The 17,645-nt window shown below is 40.0% G+C and overlaps 1 protein-coding gene across 3 annotated transcripts in view; it reads left to right on the forward strand.

Moving 5' to 3' along the window:
* The window catches only part of TMEM135 (transmembrane protein 135), a 290,891-nt gene that overhangs the window by 912 nt on the left and 272,334 nt on the right, over nucleotides 1-17,645 (forward strand). The window lies entirely within an intron of this gene.

Below are 17,645 nucleotides of genomic sequence, written 5' to 3' on the forward strand. Positions count from 1 at the left end.
TTCTGTTACACAACTTTACATACAGGGCAATTAATAGGGAATATTTGGCAGTATGTATATGTAACACTGAGGACTATTAAAGATGCTCTTAAATGTTCTCCGCAAAATCTTTTTTTCAATAATCTTATCCTTGATATTAAAGATTTATTATTACTTTGGCCATTGAAGTGCATTGTCTCATTTTCTTGCCTTACAGTTTGTGTCCTAAGAAGACAGATCATATTTTTTGTATGTCTTCTAAAAGTTTCAATATTCAGCAGATGATCAATTATTATTTCTCATTGAAGTAATTTAGATTTATACCCTAATGTTCCTGAAAGTGTGTCATGGCTGTATCTGTAGTACTTCTTGAAAAGTCTGATTATGTATTTCAGAGATAACACAGGAGAAGGTGATGACTTTGTTTGAGGTTGCAGGCACCCATTTCATTTTTATTGTATAGACTGATGCTTCTCACATTTTCATGTATGTTAGGAATCCTCTGAGGATTATGTTAAAATGGGGGTTCTAATTCATTAGGTCCTGGTGGGGCCTGAACCTCTGCTTTCCTAACAAACTCGTGGTAATGCTGATGGTGGGGGCTGCACTTTGAATAATAAAGATCTAGAGTAGAGGCCAGTAATTGTTATTGGAGCTGGAAATTTTTTCCTTGATTTTCTTTGGCAAAGATTCATGTTTATCTGCTTTTCCACATTCACTGTGGCCAGTCTATGTCTCAGAATTTTTCTTTTTATTTTTGGATACAGGGCCTTGTTGTATTGCCATTCTGGCTGGAGTGCAGTGGCGCAATCACGGCTCACTGCATAAGGCTCAGATTTGTAAAAAATAAAACATCTACAAACATTATTGAGCTCTTGATATACAACTATAGAAAAGATTGTTCCTGCTGTGAGAGGATTATGATATAGGTGGAAAGAGAGTTTATGCTATCTACTTCTCCCTCTGAAAATCCATAGCACTTTTCATTCATTAATTCATTCACTTAACAAATATTTGTTGAATGCCTGATACTTGTTATATCAATAGCCTAGACAATTTATGGATTATAGTCTATGATAGGGACATTCAGGGTAGCAATAGAAACATAGGTTCTCCTACTCCAACAAGGTAGGTTGGGGGTGTTCAGGAAAAGAGTTGTGTTTTACTACTATATCTCCAACAAGATTAAGTACTTATTGAGGATAAATTTTCCATCTCATGTGGCCTTGTACCCTTACATCTGTGTATTTGAAAATTTTGGTTGCTACTCCTCGGTAGTTGTGAAATAAAATTAGTGGGAACTGAATAGCATTTTATTTTATATTAGTGAAATGGAAGAAAATAAAAAATGTTAGGACATATTGCGCATACTAAGGGTAAGCATTATTTCATGACAGTTTTGTTTCAGTTATCCATGTAGGTATGGGTGGGGCTACTTGGAGCATATAGCTGTTCTCTTTGTGAGTGTTGGATAGTTGATTAAATGTATACCCCCATGTACTAAGATGCAAGGTGGTGTGGTGGAAAGAAATTGGACTTTAAAAAGTGATCAGGCCAGGTGCAGTGGCTCACGCCCATAATCCCAGCTCTTTGGGAGGCCGAGGTGTGTGGATCACCTGAGGTCAGGCGTTCGAGACCAGCCAGCTTGACCAACATGGTGAAACCCCATCTCTACGAAAAATATAAAATTAGCTGGGCGTGGTGGCACATGCCTGTAATCCCAGCTACTCGGGAGGCTGAGGCAGGAAAATCACTTGAACCTGGGAGGTGGAGGTTGTAGTGAGCTGAGATCATGCCATTGCACTCCAGCCTGGGAAACAAGAGCAAAACTCCATCACAAAAAAAAAAAAAAGGGATCAGGGTATCAGGATTTGAATCTCAGCTCTATCATTTACCAGCTATTTGACTTTGTATATGTTACTTTATCTTTCTTTTTGAGAATTAAATGAAATCATGCATTGATGATGTATCACATATTTTCTAGTTTATCATAGGTTTTGAATAGTTACGCATATTTTTCTTCCTCCCTTCTCCGGTGGCACTTAAGAGTGAAGTTCATGGAAGGTGGGTAGGGAAGGCCTCTTGAAGTAGGTGGCCCTTGACTTGTGCCTTGAGGGTAAGGCTATACAGACATTTATTCATGCAGTAGACATTTATAGCATACCTATTCTTAATGGAGAGGAGGGAGGATAATGTAAACTGAGGCAGAAAACTAAGTGGTTTTGTAAGAGAAGCAATGAATACATTGTCTATAACAGAACGTTTGCGTACAGGAGTTGTGAGCGATAACAACTTACATTTATTATGTGCTTAGTCCTTTACGTATTTTATCTTTTTTAACCCTTACACAACCCCAGCTTATTATCCCCATTTTATAGGTAAGATACCTGAAGGTTAGAGACATTAAGTGATTCACAAGATTTAGAGCTAGTAAGGAAAAAGACAGGATTCGGTTCTCATTTTTTTTTTTTTTTGACTGAAAGACTGAAGGACAGGCTAAAGGAGCCACTGTTCTGTGTGCATGCTATTGAGGTTTCTTTTTGAACAAAGGGGTTACAAGTACAAAATGATGCTTTCAGATGCTAAATCTGGTAGCACTGGGAAGACCGGATAGAAAAGATTTTTGAGAAATTGATGCAGCAATTTCACTAAGTAGTGGAAAGAGTCAGAACTCCTGTGGAATCTCACCCTGCAATTTACTATCAATATGATCTTTAGAAAAATTACCGAATCGCATGGAGCCTTAGTCCCCTTGCTTTGCAGAAGATGATTGTACCCATTTTTTAAGGTCTGTTGTGAGGAGTTAAATAGGGTAATAGTGCATTAATTATGATATATGTCTCTATCTTCTGTTAAAACAGTGGTTTGTATTTAGACTAGTGTAGTACCTCATTAAATGCTTAATATATGTCTAAATGAGTGAAGGTATGAATGAATAAGCATATGAATAGTGCGGGAGTGAAGACATATTTGGCAGGTCTGCCAGAGAAGATGAAAGGGCAGTTCTAGAGGCATTTTGTGGCAGAATGAACAGGACTTAGAGACCAAGGATATTGGGGCAGTATGAGGACTTCTTTATACTTCTAGGTTGTCAAGTCAGATTGTTGCAGTTGCCATTATTGCTAGAAATGGAGAAGTTCTAAAGACAAGCTGGTGTAGGGACCAATGGAGAGCTTTCCCCTTGGCCCTCTGAAGGTTCACCAAAAATCACTGACAGGAGGCCGATGGATTAATAGGAGAAAGGGCATGTACCAATTTATTTAACGTGTATACACGGGAGCCTTCAGAATGAAGACCCAAAAATACAGGGGAAATTATCTGTTTTTATGCTTAGGTTCAACGAAGTATAGACAGCTATGTAGAAATGTGATTGGACAATAATGGTAATAGACTGATTGGGGAAGCAAGGTCTGTCTGTCTAGATTCTTCTTGGCCTCTCTGTCTAAATTCTTCTTGGCCTCTCTGAGCATTCCTTCTTTTCTTTTGAGTATGGGGCAGGACCCTCTCTGGAATGGGGGCTTATGACCTACAGTCAAACAAGGTAGGTCAGATAGTTTCTTTATGGCCAGTTTTTACATGGAAAGGCAAAGGGAAAGTTAGTATGATATTTTAAGTTTTATGGCTGGCTTTGGGGAAAATAGGTTTTGGTTTTTATGACCTGCCTTGGGGAAAATTCTAGTTTCTAAGGCTAGCTCAGGGGAGAGTGGGACTAGGAGACAGGAGAGCAGGAGAAGGTCAGAAAAAAACTTCTGCTTCTAAGGCTGCTTCTGAGGCCTTCATTTTGTGGTATTGTATTCTGAGCCCCAACATGAAGGAAGATTTTTATCAAGAGTGTTTTCTGGAGCCTATAAAATGGGTCTTATGTATCTGCTTTTCATTGGAAACATTATCATGTGTGTTGTACTAAACTGATTTCTTCATGTCATATTTACTTTCTTGTTCTATACATTTGCCCTCATGCTTCTTTTAATCTTAGTATCTACAACTGTTTAGTCGGTATTCATCTTCTACTGTTTAAACTATTTCAAAATGTAGATGTATGATTCCTTTTATTATAATAGTGAATCTTTGTGTTTTCACAATTTGTAAAGAATATCAGCTCTCACTCATCATTTATTTCTGTAGTTTTGTTTTGTTTTTTTTTTTTTGAGACAGAGTTTCGCTCTTGTTGCTCAGGCTGGAGTGCAGTGGTGTGATCTCGGCTCACTACAACCTCCGCCTCCCAGGTTCAAGCCATTCTGCTGCCTCAGCCTCCCGAGTAGCTGGGATTACAGGTATGCACCACCACGCCCGGCTAATTTTGTATTTTTAGTAGAGACGGGGTTTCTGCATGTTGGTCAGGTTGGTTTGGAACTCCTGACCTCAGGTGATCCACCTGCCTCAGCCTCCCAAAGTGCTGGAATTACAGGAGTGAGCCACTGGGCCCAGCCTATTTCTGTAGTTTTTTTAAAAAGCAGATTCTTACATATTTTGTGATATACGGTAACAATGTATGCATGTACCAAAAATATATTTTAGAATTTTATATTGTATTTCTTGAATGTTAGTTATTGCTACATATTCTAAATAGGTGGTACCCCTTGCTGCACACATACATATGAAACAGTTATTAAACTGTTGGCTGGGTGCGGTGTCTGACGCCTGTAATCCCAGCACTTTGGGAGGCTGAGGCGGGTGGATCACGAGGTCAGGAAATGGAGACCATCCTGGCCAACATGGTGAAACCCGTCTCTACTAAAAATACAAAAATTAGCTGGGCATGGTGGTGTGCACCTGTAGTCCCAGCTGCTCGGGAGGCTGAAGCAGGAGAATCACTTGAACCTGGGAGGCGGAGGTTGTACTGAGCAGAGATCACGCCACTGCACTCCAGCCTGGCAACAGAGCGAGACTCTGTCTCAAAACAAACAAACAAACAAACAAAAAAAACTGTTTAACCCCTAGACTACCACTAAGATTAAGGAAAGCATAAGGCCCTTGTTTTTGTGGCAAATTTAGAATATACAGTTGCCCACTTGGGAGTATGGATTCTATGCTGTTGAGATTCTTAGGTACCTTCCCTAAGAAGGAAAACTTGTTCACTAACCTCAGATGGTTCTAACACTAAGACCTTTCTTTTCCTAGTTGGTTTTCTTTAGGACCTCTAGATTAAGGTACTGGCATTTACCTTTAGCTGAGTCCAAAGTAGAATCTTTTGCATTTTTGGGAAAGAATGATTTTAAAACCTGTTTTTTCACTGACCTTTAGATGTTTAGACTCTTCAGTGGATGAACATGTTTACTCAATATTTACTCCCTTTGAACCATGTAATCCAACAAATCTGTTAGATTACTAAGGATCAGTTAATCACTTCTAGGCTCTGAATAAACATTTAAGCCAGAGTTGAAATTTCTAGGAATAAAAAACGGTTTATGGACAGTCTCATTGGTTGCTAAAGGCTTGAAAACCACTGATTGAAAAAATCAGTTCAGTGATACAGACTGAGTGTTTTAAGGCAGTGAGTGCTTTAGCAAGTTTTCTAGAGGCTACAAGACCAGCAATGAGACTAAAAAGTTTTTGGTAATAGGCATTTGTTTTTGTTTTTGGCTTAAAAAAATAAAATAAGAAACCCTGAAGTCATTAAAGAATGTAAACTACTCAGAATATCTGTCTAGATTATCTGAGCTTTGGAGACCATGGAATTGTAAATGTGTGCATAATCCCTCTTTGATTTTTGCTTGAGACCTAACTTATGGGGGTGTAAATAAGGGGCTCACTTTATCTTTCTTTTCAATAACTAAATGATTTTTACATAATTTCTTATTATCTCTTTGGAGATATAAGTCATATGGTTTTATTTATTTATTTGAGACAGAGTCTTGCTCTGTCGCCCAGGCTGGAGTGCAGTGGCACAATCTCGGCTAACTGCAAGTTCCACCTCCTGGGGTCACGCCCTTCTCCTGCCTCAGCCTGCCGAGTAGCTGGGACTACAGGCCGCGCCACCACGCCCAGCTAATTTTTGTATTTTTAGTAGAGGTGGGTTTCACCGTATTGGCCAGGATGGTCTCCATCTCCTGACCTCGTGATCCACCCACCTCAGCCTCCCAAAGTGCTGGGATTACAGGCGTAAGCCACCACGCCCGGCCGTCATGTGGTCTTTTTTAAATGAACAATTGAATAATGGGTTTTCCTATTCATTAATGTGACGTTTTGAGTTTGTTGAAGGTGTTTTTATTTTTATTTTTTTGAGACGGAGTCTGGCTTTGTTGCCCAGGCTGGAGTGCGGTGGCGCGATCTAGGCTTACTGCAAGCTGCGCCTCCCGGGTTCATGCAATTCTCCTGCCTCAGCCTCTCGAGTAGCTTGGACTACAGGTGCCTGCCACCACGCCCAGCTAATTTTTTTGTATTTTTAGTAGAGACGGGGTTTCACTCTGTTAGCCAGGATGGTCTCGATCTCCTGACCTTGTGATCCGCCCGCCTCGGCCTCCCAAAGTGCTGGGATTACAGGCGTGAGCCACCGCACCCGGCTGAAGTTGTTTTTATATGTGAGTTCTTGTTATTCTTTGGCTGCTCTCTGTTGAGTACAAACTACAGCCTCTAGCATGTCGCTTCCAGTTGAGAGGTAAGGGCTTAGTATTGCAGTAAACACTTTCTCAACTCACTGTTTTCTGTAGCAGCTAACTCTGAGTAGAGCAGGCCAATTCTGATTTACCATTATTTGCCTCTTAGTTGTCATAGATGAGGGATAAAAATACATATTGGTAGAAAGAGACCCACCTGGAGGAATGAGGGAGTCAATTCTACACTAATAATCCCTCTGGTAACAGATTTTCCATCAGATTGCCTTCATATCCAACTAATTAGTTGATTTTATTGTGATAGAGATTAGTCTGAATAATCAGGCCTTTTATTCATTTTTTAGAAAACTATGCTTGAACTTTTGACTCTTAAAAACTTTCTTTTCATTATTTGCCAATAAATATTGATGAAATATATGGTGAAGGGGAGACTGATATTTGATGATTAGTTTAGTAATATCTGAACCTAGACTATTGGTATTGAAATATTTGTCCCCTATTTGTTTACCAAGTATTTATTGAGTCTGCTATTTGCAGGGTGCTGTTTGTGGCAGCTGTGTGCTATGTGGTATGGTGAAGAATAAAATGAATGAGACATACTTCTTACATTGAGTTTATAGTTTAGGAGGGGAGATTAGGCACATATACTCCTGTAATGCAAATTCATTGAGATAAATGCCATAAGGTACAGATAAAAATAAAAGTAAAGTAGTATATATAACTATTAGATTAACAGTGTAACTCAGGCCGGGCATGGTGGCTCATGCCTGTAATACCAGCATTTTGGGAGGCTGAGGCGGGAGGATCACTTGAGGTCAGGAGTTCGAGACCAGCCTGGTCAAATGCTGAAACCCCTCCCCTACTAAAAATACAAAAATTAGCCAGCGTGGTGGTGGGCATCTGTAATCCCAGCTACTTGGGAGACTGAGGCAGGAGAATCGCTTGCAGCGAGTGGAGATCTCAGCTCCCCAGCCTGGGAGACGGAGCGAGACTGTGTCTCAAAAAACAAACAAACAAACAAATAAACAAACAACAAAACAAACCCAGTAACTCAGTTTTAAAGATGTAAGTTCGAAGGATCAAATAAAGCTGTAAGATTTTAAGCCTTGCTTATTAGGATATGTAGAAGTTAGTGCTGTGGAAAAAATATTTTCAGTGAAACATACTGGCTTGCTTTGGGACATACTGAGTTTTAATTACCAGTGCGGTATGTAAGTGGAGAATGACCATGAGACATTGAGAAATGCAGGGGTAGAGAGAAACTGAGGCTAGAGATTTAGGTTTATATGTCCTAATCCTAGAGATGAAAGTTGAGCCCATGATTATGGGTTAGGTCGACGAGGGAGAGAGTTTAGAAAGAGAAGACAACCTAGGGAATGCTTATATTTGGAGCAGAGGAAAAGAAAGAAGCAGACAGAGCTGTATGAAGAGATTGAGGTGGTAGTGTTACTGAGTCTTGAAGTAAAGGAGTTTTGAGAGGTATTGTAAGAGATGGGAAGAGCATGGACTTGAATCTCAGTCCTGCCACTTACTGGCATTGTGACCTTGAGCAAGGTTCTTAACATTTGTGAACCTCAGTGTCCTCATCTATAAAATGAGGATAAAATACCTATCTATTATCCTTTAAAAATGCAAGTCAGCTTTTGTTATTCCTCTGCCCATAACTCTCCAGGGACTTTCCAATGCAATACAATGTGAAATCCTCACCATGGCCTTCAGAGCCTTATGTGGTCTATCTGTTGCTTGTTTAATTACATTTCATGCGATTTTCCCCTTTGCTTTTCCACCTCGATCTAGATGTAATCACACAATTTATTTAATATTTTGAATCTATGTTTTATGTAATTTACAACAGAGAGCTCTTGATTTTCTGGGGAATATCTTAAATTGTACAACAGCCAGATTGTTAAAAAAAAAGTGTATTTTGGGAGGAGCCAAGATGGCCGAATAGGAACAGCTCCGGTCTACAGCTCCCAGCGTGAGCGACGCAGAAGACGGGTGATTTCTGCATTTCCATCTGAGGTACCGGGTTCATCTCACTAGGGAGTGCCAGACAGTGGGCGCAGGCCAGTGTGTGCGCGCACCGTGCGCGAGCCGAAGCAGGGCGAGGCACTGCCTCACCTGGGAAGCGCAAGGGGTCAGGGAGTTCCCTTTCCGAGTCAAAGAAAGGGGTGATGGACGCACCTGGAAAATCGGGTCACTCCCACCGAATATTGCGCTTTTCAGACCGGCTTAAAAAACGGCGCACCACGAGACTATATCCCACACCTGGCTCAGAGGGTCCTACACCCACGGAATCTCGCTGATTGCTAGCACAGCAGTCTGAGATCAAACTGCAAGGCGGCAACGAGGCTGGGGGAGGGGCGCCCGCCATTGCCCAGGCTTGCTTAGGTAAACAAAGCAGCCGGGAAGCTCCAACTGGGTGGAGCCCACCACAGCTCAAGGAGGCCTGCCTGCCTCTGTAGGCTCCACCTCTGGGGGCAGGGCACAGTCAAACAAAAAGACAGCAGTAACCTCTGCAGACTTAAGTGTCCCTGTCTGACAGCTTTGAAGAGAGCAGTGGTTCTCCCAGCACGCAGCTGGAGATCTGAGAATGGGCAGACTGCCTCCTCAAGTGGGTCCCTGACCCCTGACCCCTGAGCAGCCTAACTGGGAGGCACCCCCCAGCAGGGGCACACTGACACCTCACACGGCAGGGTATTCCAACAGACCTGCAGCTGAGGGTCCTGTCTGTTAGAAGGAAAACTAACAACCAGAAAGGACATCTACACCGAAAACCTATCTGTACATCACCATCATCAAAGACCAAAAGTAGATAAAACCACAAAGATGGGGAAAAAACAGAACAGAAAAACTGGAAACTCTAAAATGCAGAGCGCCTCTCCTCCTCCAAAGGAACGCAGTTCCTCACCAGCAACGGAACAAAGCTGGATGGAGAATGATTTTGACGAGCTGAGAGAAGAAGGCTTCAGACGATCAAATTACTCTGAGCTACGGGAGGACATTCAAACCAAAGGCAAAGAAGTTGAAAACTTTGAAAAAAATTTAGAAGAATGTATAACTAGAATAACCAATACAGAGAAGTGCTTAAAGGAGCTGATGGAGCTGAAAACCAAGGCTCGAGAACTACGTGAAGAATGCAGAAGCCTCAGGAGCCGATGCGATCAACTGGAAGAAAGGGTATCAGCAATGGAAGATGAAATGAATGAAATGAAGCGAGAAGGGAAGTTTAGAGAAAAAAGAATAAAAAGAAATGAGCAAAGCCTCCAAGAAATATGGGACTATGTGAAAAGACCAAATCTACATCTGATTGGTGTACCTGAAAGTGATGTGGAGAATGGAACCAAGTTGGAAAACACTCTGCAGGATATTATCCAGGAGAACTTCCCCAATCTAGCAAGGCAGGCCAACGTTCAGATTCAGGAAATACAGAGAACGCCACAAAGATACTCCTTGAGAAGAGCAACTCCAAGACACATAATTGTCAGATTCACCAAAGTTGAAATGAAGGAAAAAATGTTAAGGGCAGCCAGAGAGAAAGGTCAGGTTACCCTCAAAGGAAAGCCCATCAGACTAACAGCGGATCTCTCGGCAGAAACCCTACAAGCCAGAAGAGAGTGGGGGCCAATATTCAACATTCTTAAAGAAAAGAATTTTCAACCCAGAATTTCATATCCAGCCAAACTAAGCTTCATAAGTGAAGGAGAAATAAAATACTTTATAGACAAGCAAATGCTGAGAGATTTTGTCACCACCAGGCCTGCCCTAAAAGAGCTCCTGAAGGAAGCGCTAAACATGGAAAGGAACAACCGGTACCAGCCACTGCAAAATCATGCCAAAATGTAAAGACCATCGAGACTAGGAAGAAACTGCATCAACTAATGAGCAAAATCACCAGCTAACATCATAATGACAGGATCAAATTCACACATAACAATATTAACTTTAAATATAAATGGACTAAATTCTGCAATTAAAAGACACAGACTGGCAAGTTGGATAAAGAGTCAAGACCCATCAGTGTGCTGTATTCAGGAAACCCATCTCACATGCAGAGACACACATAGGCTCAAAATAAAAGGATGGTGGAAGATCTACCAAGCAAATGGAAAACAAAAAAAGGCAGGGGTTGCAATCCTAATCTCTGATAAAACAGACTTTAAACCAACAAAGATCAAAAGAGACAAAGAAGGCCATTACATAATGGTAAAGGGATCAATTCAACAAGAGAAGCTAACTATCCTAAATATTTATGCACCCAATACAGGAGCACCCAGATTCATAAAGCAAGTCCTGAGTGACCTACAAAGAGACTTAGACTCCCACACATTAATAATGGGAGACTTTAACACCCCACTGTCAACATTAGACAGATCAACGAGACAGAAAGTCAACAAGGATACCCAGGAATTGAACTCAGCTCTGCACCAAGCGGACCTAATAGACATCTGCAGAACTCTCCACCCCAAATCAACACAATATACATTTTTTTGAGCACCACACCACACCTATTCCAAAATTGACCACATAGTTGGAAGTAAAGCTCTCCTCAGCAAATGTAAAAGAACAGAAATTATAACAAACTATCTCTCAGACCACAGTGCAATCAAACTAGAACTCAGGATTAAGAATCTCACTCAAAGCCGCTCAACTACATGGAAACTGAACAACCTGCTCCTGAATGACTACTGGGTACATAACGAAATGAAGGCAGAAATAAAGATGTTCTTTGAAACCAACGAGAACAAAGACACCACATACCAGAATCTCTGGGACACATTCAAAGCAGTGTGTAGAGGGAAATTTATAGCACTAAATGCCTACAAGAGAAAGCAGGAAAGATCCAAAATTGACACCCTAACATCACAATTAAAAGAACTAGAAAAGCAAGAGCAAACACATTCAAAAGCTAGCAGAAGGCAAGAAATAACTAAAATCAGAGCAGAACTGAAGGAAATAGAGACACAAAAAACCCTTCAAAAAATCAATGAATCCAGGAGCTGGTTTTTTGAAAGGATCAACAAAATTGATAGACCGCTAGCAAGACTAATAAAGAAAAAAAGAGAAGAATCAAATAGACACAATAAAAAATGATAAAGGGGATATCACCACCGATCCCACAGAAATACAAACTACCATCAGAGAATACTACAAACACCTCTACGCAAATAAACTAGAAAATCTAGAAGAAATGGATACATTCCTCCACACATACACTCTCCCAAGACTAAACCAGGAAGAAGTTGAATCTCTGAATAGACCAATAACAGGCTCTGAAATTGTGGCAATAATCAATAGTTTACCAACCAAAAAGAGTCCAGGACCAGATGGATTCACAGCCGAATTCTACCAGAGGTACAAGGAGGAACTGGTACCATTCCTTCTGAAACTATTCCAATCAATAGAAAAAGAGGGAATCCTCCCTAACTCATTTTATGAGGCCAGCATCATTCTGATACCAAAGCCGGGCAGAGACACAACCAAAAAAGAGAATTTTAGACCAATATCCTTGATGAACATTGATGCAAAAATCCTCAATAAAATACTGGCAAACCGAATCCAGCAGCACATCAAAAAGCTTATCCACCATGATCAAGTGGGCTTCATCCCTGGGATGCAAGGCTGGTTCAATATACACAAATCAATAAATGTATTCCAGCATATAAACAGAGCCAAAGACAAAAACCACATGATTATCTCAATAGATGCAGAAAAAACCTTTGACAAAATTCAACAACCCTTCATGCTAAAAACTCTCAATAAATTAGGTATTGATGGGACGTATTTCAAAATAATAAGAGCTATCTATGACAAACCCACAGCCAATATCATACTGAATGGGCAAAAACTGGAAGCATTCCCTTTGAAAACTGGCACAAGACAGGGATGTCCTCTCTCACCGCTCCTATTCAACATAGTGTTGGAAGTTCTGGCCAGGGCAATCAGGCAGGAGAAGGAAATAAAGGGTATTCAATTAGGAAAAGAGGAAGTCAAATTGTCCCTGTTTGCAGACGACATGATTGTTTATCTAGAAAACCCCATTGTCTCAGCCCAAAATCTCCTTAAGCTGATAAGCAACTTCAGCAAAGTCTCAGGATACAAAATCAATGTACAAAAATCACAAGCATTCTTATACATCAACAACAGACAGAGAGCCAAATCATAAGTGAACTCCCATTCACAATTGCTTCAAAGAGAATAAAATACCTAGGAATCCAACTTACAAGGGACGTGAAGGACCTCTTCAAGGAGAACTACAAACCACTGCTCAAGGAAATAAAAGAGGACACAAACAAATGGAAGAACATTCCATGCTCATGGGTAGGAAGAATCAATATCGTGAAAATGGCCATACTGCCCAAGGTAATTTACAGATTCAATGCCATCCCCATCAAGCTACCAATGACTTTCTTCACAGAATTGGAAAAAACTACTTTAAAGTTCATATGGAACCAAAAAAGAGCCCGCATCGCCAAGTCAATCCTAAGCCAAAAGAACAAAGCTGGAGGCATCACACTACCTGACTTCAAACTATACTACAAGGCTACAGTAACCAAAACAGCATGGTACTGGTACCAAAACAGAGATATAGATCAATGGAACAGAACAGAGCCCTCAGAAATAATGCCGCATATCTACAACTATCTGATCTTTGACAAACCTGAGAAAAACAAGCAATGGGGAAAGGATTCCCTATTTAATAAATGGTGCTGGGAAAACTGGCTAGCCATATGTAGAAAGCTGAAACTGGATCCCTTCCTTACACCTTATACAAAAATCAATTCAAGATGGATTAAAGATTTAAACGTTAGACCTAAAACCATAAAAACCCTAGAAGAAAACCTAGGCATTACCATTCAGGACATAGGCGTGGGCAAGGACTTCATGTCCAAAACACCAAAAGCAATGGCAACAAAAGCCAAAATTGACAAATGGGATCTAATTAAACTAAAGAGCTTCTGCACAGCAAAAGAAACTACCATCAGAGTGAACAGGCAACCTACAACATGGGAGAAAATTTTCGCAACCTACTCATCTGACAAAGGGCTAATATCCAGAATCTACAATGAACTCAAACAAATTTACAAGAAAAAAACAAACAACCCCATCAAAAAGTGGGCGAAGGACATGAACAGACACTTCTCAAAAGAAGACATTTATGCAGCCAAAAAACACATGAAAAAATGCTCACCATCACTGGCCATCAGAGAAATGCAAATCAAAACCACTATGAGATATCATCTCACACCAGTTAGAATGGCAATCATTAAAAAGTCAGGAAACAACAGGTGCTGGAAAGGATGTGGAGAAATAGGAACACTTTTACACTGTTGGTGGGACTGTAAACTAGTTCAACCATTGTGGAAGTCAGTGTGGCGATTCCTCAGGGATCTAGAACTAGAAATACCATTTGACCCAGCCATTCCATTACTGGGTATATACCCAAATGACTATAAATCATGCTGCTATAAAGACACATGCACACGTATGTTTATTGCGGCATTATTCACAATAGCAAAGACTTGGAACCAACCCAAATGTCCAACAATGATAGACTGGATTAAGAAAATGTGGCACATATACACCATGGAATACTATGCAGCCATAAAAAATGATGAGTTCATGTCCTTTGTAGGGACATGGATGAAATTGGAAACCATCATTCTCAGTAAACTATCGCAAGAACAAAAAACGAAACACCGCATATTCTCACTCAAAGCTGGGAATTGAACAATGAGATCACATGGACACAGGAAGGGGAATATCACACTCTGGGGACTGTGGTGGGGTCGGGGGAGGGGGGAGGGATAGCAAAAAAAAAAAAAAAGTGTATTTTTATGGAATACATAAAAGGTAACTCTTGTGAGTTATGACTTTGAGAAAAAAATTCGTGCCTCAATTTGTGCATAAGCAATATATATATATATATGGATACTTTTTTTATTGATTATGAAAAGATGATGTGGATTGAAAGGCTGGAATGCAGACTTATGTTGTATAAATCTATCTGTATAAGCTTTGGAAGTGAAAAATGTGGTAAGACCTTGACAATAGATTGATCGTTTATTTATTATCATATTAGTTATTGAGTACTTACTTAGGTGGTAGGCAGGTGGTAGGTGGTAATTAGGGAAGGGGAGTTGAAGTGATGGCTTAACAAAGAACTAAATAAAATATTTTGAAGAAAGTCTTTTTAAAATGTCAGTACAATTTCTTACATTACAGTTACTTCCCTTACTTTTATAGTATAGTGAATGTGAAATATGTTTTCATCCCCAAGGACTTAAACTGGGCACATAGAATGCCTAATAGTGGTTGATGCTTTGATGATTAATGGTCTTATAATACTTCAGATTTATTATTCTTCCATTATCGTAATATATACATAATATAGTACTGTATTAAAGACTTAATTTGAATCTCTGTTGACCGCAGGTTAAACTTTTAAATTGCCTTTTAATTACTCACTAATCTTAGTTTTCTTTCTACTCATTGATATGCTCTTAATGTTGTGATTGAGATTTGTGTATTTTTTCCTTCAGGTAATAGGATATGAATCTGTTTTATCTTTGGATACTAGGAATATAGTTAATAAGTATTTGTTAGTGAGCCTGAATAATTAATGAGTCAAGTTAGTATGGTGAATTGTTCTTACATATCATATGTGAGGCTCTGTCTTCCTCATAATTATACTTGAGGGGAATCAATAACTGAAATAAATTAAAGAAGATTTTAACTAACTTGGCTCATAGCAGTATTGAAAAATATTTAGTGGCGGGGCAGGTTGGCTTACACCTGTAATCCCAGCACTTTGGGAGGCCAAGGTGGGCAGATCACCTGAGGTCAGGAGTTCGAGACCAGCCTGGCCAACATGGTGAAACCCCATCTTCACTAAAAATACAAAAATTAGCTGGGCATGGTGGCGTGTGCCTGTAATCCCAGCTACTGGGGAGGCTGAGGCAAGAGAATCACTGGAGCCCGGAGGCAGAGGTTGCGATGAGCCTAGATTGCGCCACTGGACTCCAGCCTGGCAACAGAGTGAGACTCTGTCTCAAAAAAGAAAAAAAGAAAAAAAGAAAAATATTTAGTAAAATGGACCTTAAATAATTTATATGTGAAAGAAAAGTATTAAGGAAGAGTGCTAAATCAAGTATCATCAGATTTGAGCAAGTTCCTTTTATAAGAATGCTGAATTTTTTCAACTTACTGTCATTTATTTTGTATAGCCCTTTGACTCATTAGATTTGTCAGGTTGCTTTGGTTTCTTGATTCTTACTTGATCTTGGGGGTTTGGATTGTGATTAATCCACTTTGGGAGTTTCCTTGAAAGATTCTGCACCTATTGCCAGTGATGAAGGAAGGCTTATTCTGATTAGATTCGATTTTTAAACCTTGAAAGAAATACACATGGGACAATTTTTTTTTTCAGACCCGTATGTCAGAAACTCTCAAGCACAGGAGGCACTGAATTAACCAGAAACAGCCAAATTTCTGTGTGCCCCTGGCTGCATTTGGAGTGTAGTATAACTGTATTTACTCTGAATCTTCATTTCCTTTCACTGTCTCTTATCTACCCTTATTTCATTAATCAAATATTACATGTTACCTACAATGAGTAAGAAATACTGGAGTGAGGGGAACGTGGAGGTTAACAATGAAGGGGGAAGGTAAACTTTAAATAAATACGAAATTATCTGTGGTAAGTGCTATTAAGAAGACGTTCAGAATGTTACTAGGCTGTTTACAAGAGGATCCATTCTAGTGTAGAGGGTTTGGGAAGCCTTTCCTAAGGAAGTGACATGGTGATTATATGAATATATATGAAATGCACATATATTAGGTTTAACATTTATGGCACAAAAAACAAATTTTAACGTGACAAATCAAGAGAAATAAGAAGCAATTACTTTATAGAAAAATAGTTTATTTGACAATTTCACAAATCCAATACCCTGGTCAAGAATTTGGCCTTTACTTACCTGAAAGTCAAAGGCAGTAAGAAAAGTTAACTGCCTACAAACACCTCGATTAACAGATGCTCTGAAACTGAAACTTCCTTCTAGTAAAATCTATGTTTTAAATTATAGTAGTCAGAAATTTTCAATTACAAATGTTAGAAAAACTATTTTGAATAACTTCTATTTGTCTTCCTCCATTTAAAGGTAAGTTGGGATTTTTTTCGACAAAATTGTGAAGTCTGAGAAGTTAAGCATCTTTTTTTTTTTTTTGAGATGGAGTTTCGCTCTTGTTGCCTAGGCTGGAGTGCAATAGCACGATCTCGGCTCACGCCAACCTCCGCCTCCTAGGTTCAAGTGAGTCTCCTGCCTCAGCCTCCTGTGTAGCTGGGACTACAAGTATGCGCCACCATGCTTGGCTAATTTTGTATTTTTAGTAGAGTTGGGGTTTCACCATGTTGGTCAGGCTGGTCTCGAACTTCTGACCTCAAGTGATCCACCCGCCTCTGTTACAGGAAAGGGATCCTGATTTAGACTCCAAGAGAGGGTTCTTGGATTTTGCGCAAGAAAGAATTCAGGGCAAGTCCGCAGCGCAAAGCAAAAGCAAGTTTATTAAGAAAGTAAAGTGGTGAAAGGACAGTTACTCCATAGACAGAGTAGGATGTTCCTCAAAGTCAGAAGGGGAACGCGTCCACCCTAGGTACAATGCTTGTATATAGGGGGAGGTGTGCTCTGCTACAAGGGTTTGTGTTGTGGTAAAGGATTAATTTTCTTAATTGCTATATTTTGCAAGAATTGATAAAGCAAAATTAGGAATGCCTTTGTTCTTCAGATATTGGGATATCTGGCCACTACCAAGTCTGGGTCTGTTTTAGTAAACGTTATTAATTTGTTCCTTTAACCGTAAACATCCAGAGGCTAGGAATGCCTAATTTTCTGAGAATGCAGCCCAGCAGGTCTCAGCCTCATTTTCCTAGCCCTCACTCAAAATGGAGCCTCTCTGGCTTGAACACCTCTAACACCTCTGCCTCCCAAAGAGCTGGGATTACAGGTGTGAGCCACGGCACCTGGCCAAGCATCTTTTTAAAGCTTTCTTTTTCTGTGCTCTTTTCTCTTTTTCCCATGGTTAAATTTCATGATTAGATTTCCTTTCTGG

The sequence above is a fragment of the Homo sapiens genome, chromosome 11, assembly GCF_000001405.40.
Source record: "Homo sapiens chromosome 11, GRCh38.p14 Primary Assembly".
Classification (NCBI taxonomy): domain Eukaryota; kingdom Metazoa; phylum Chordata; class Mammalia; order Primates; family Hominidae; genus Homo; species Homo sapiens.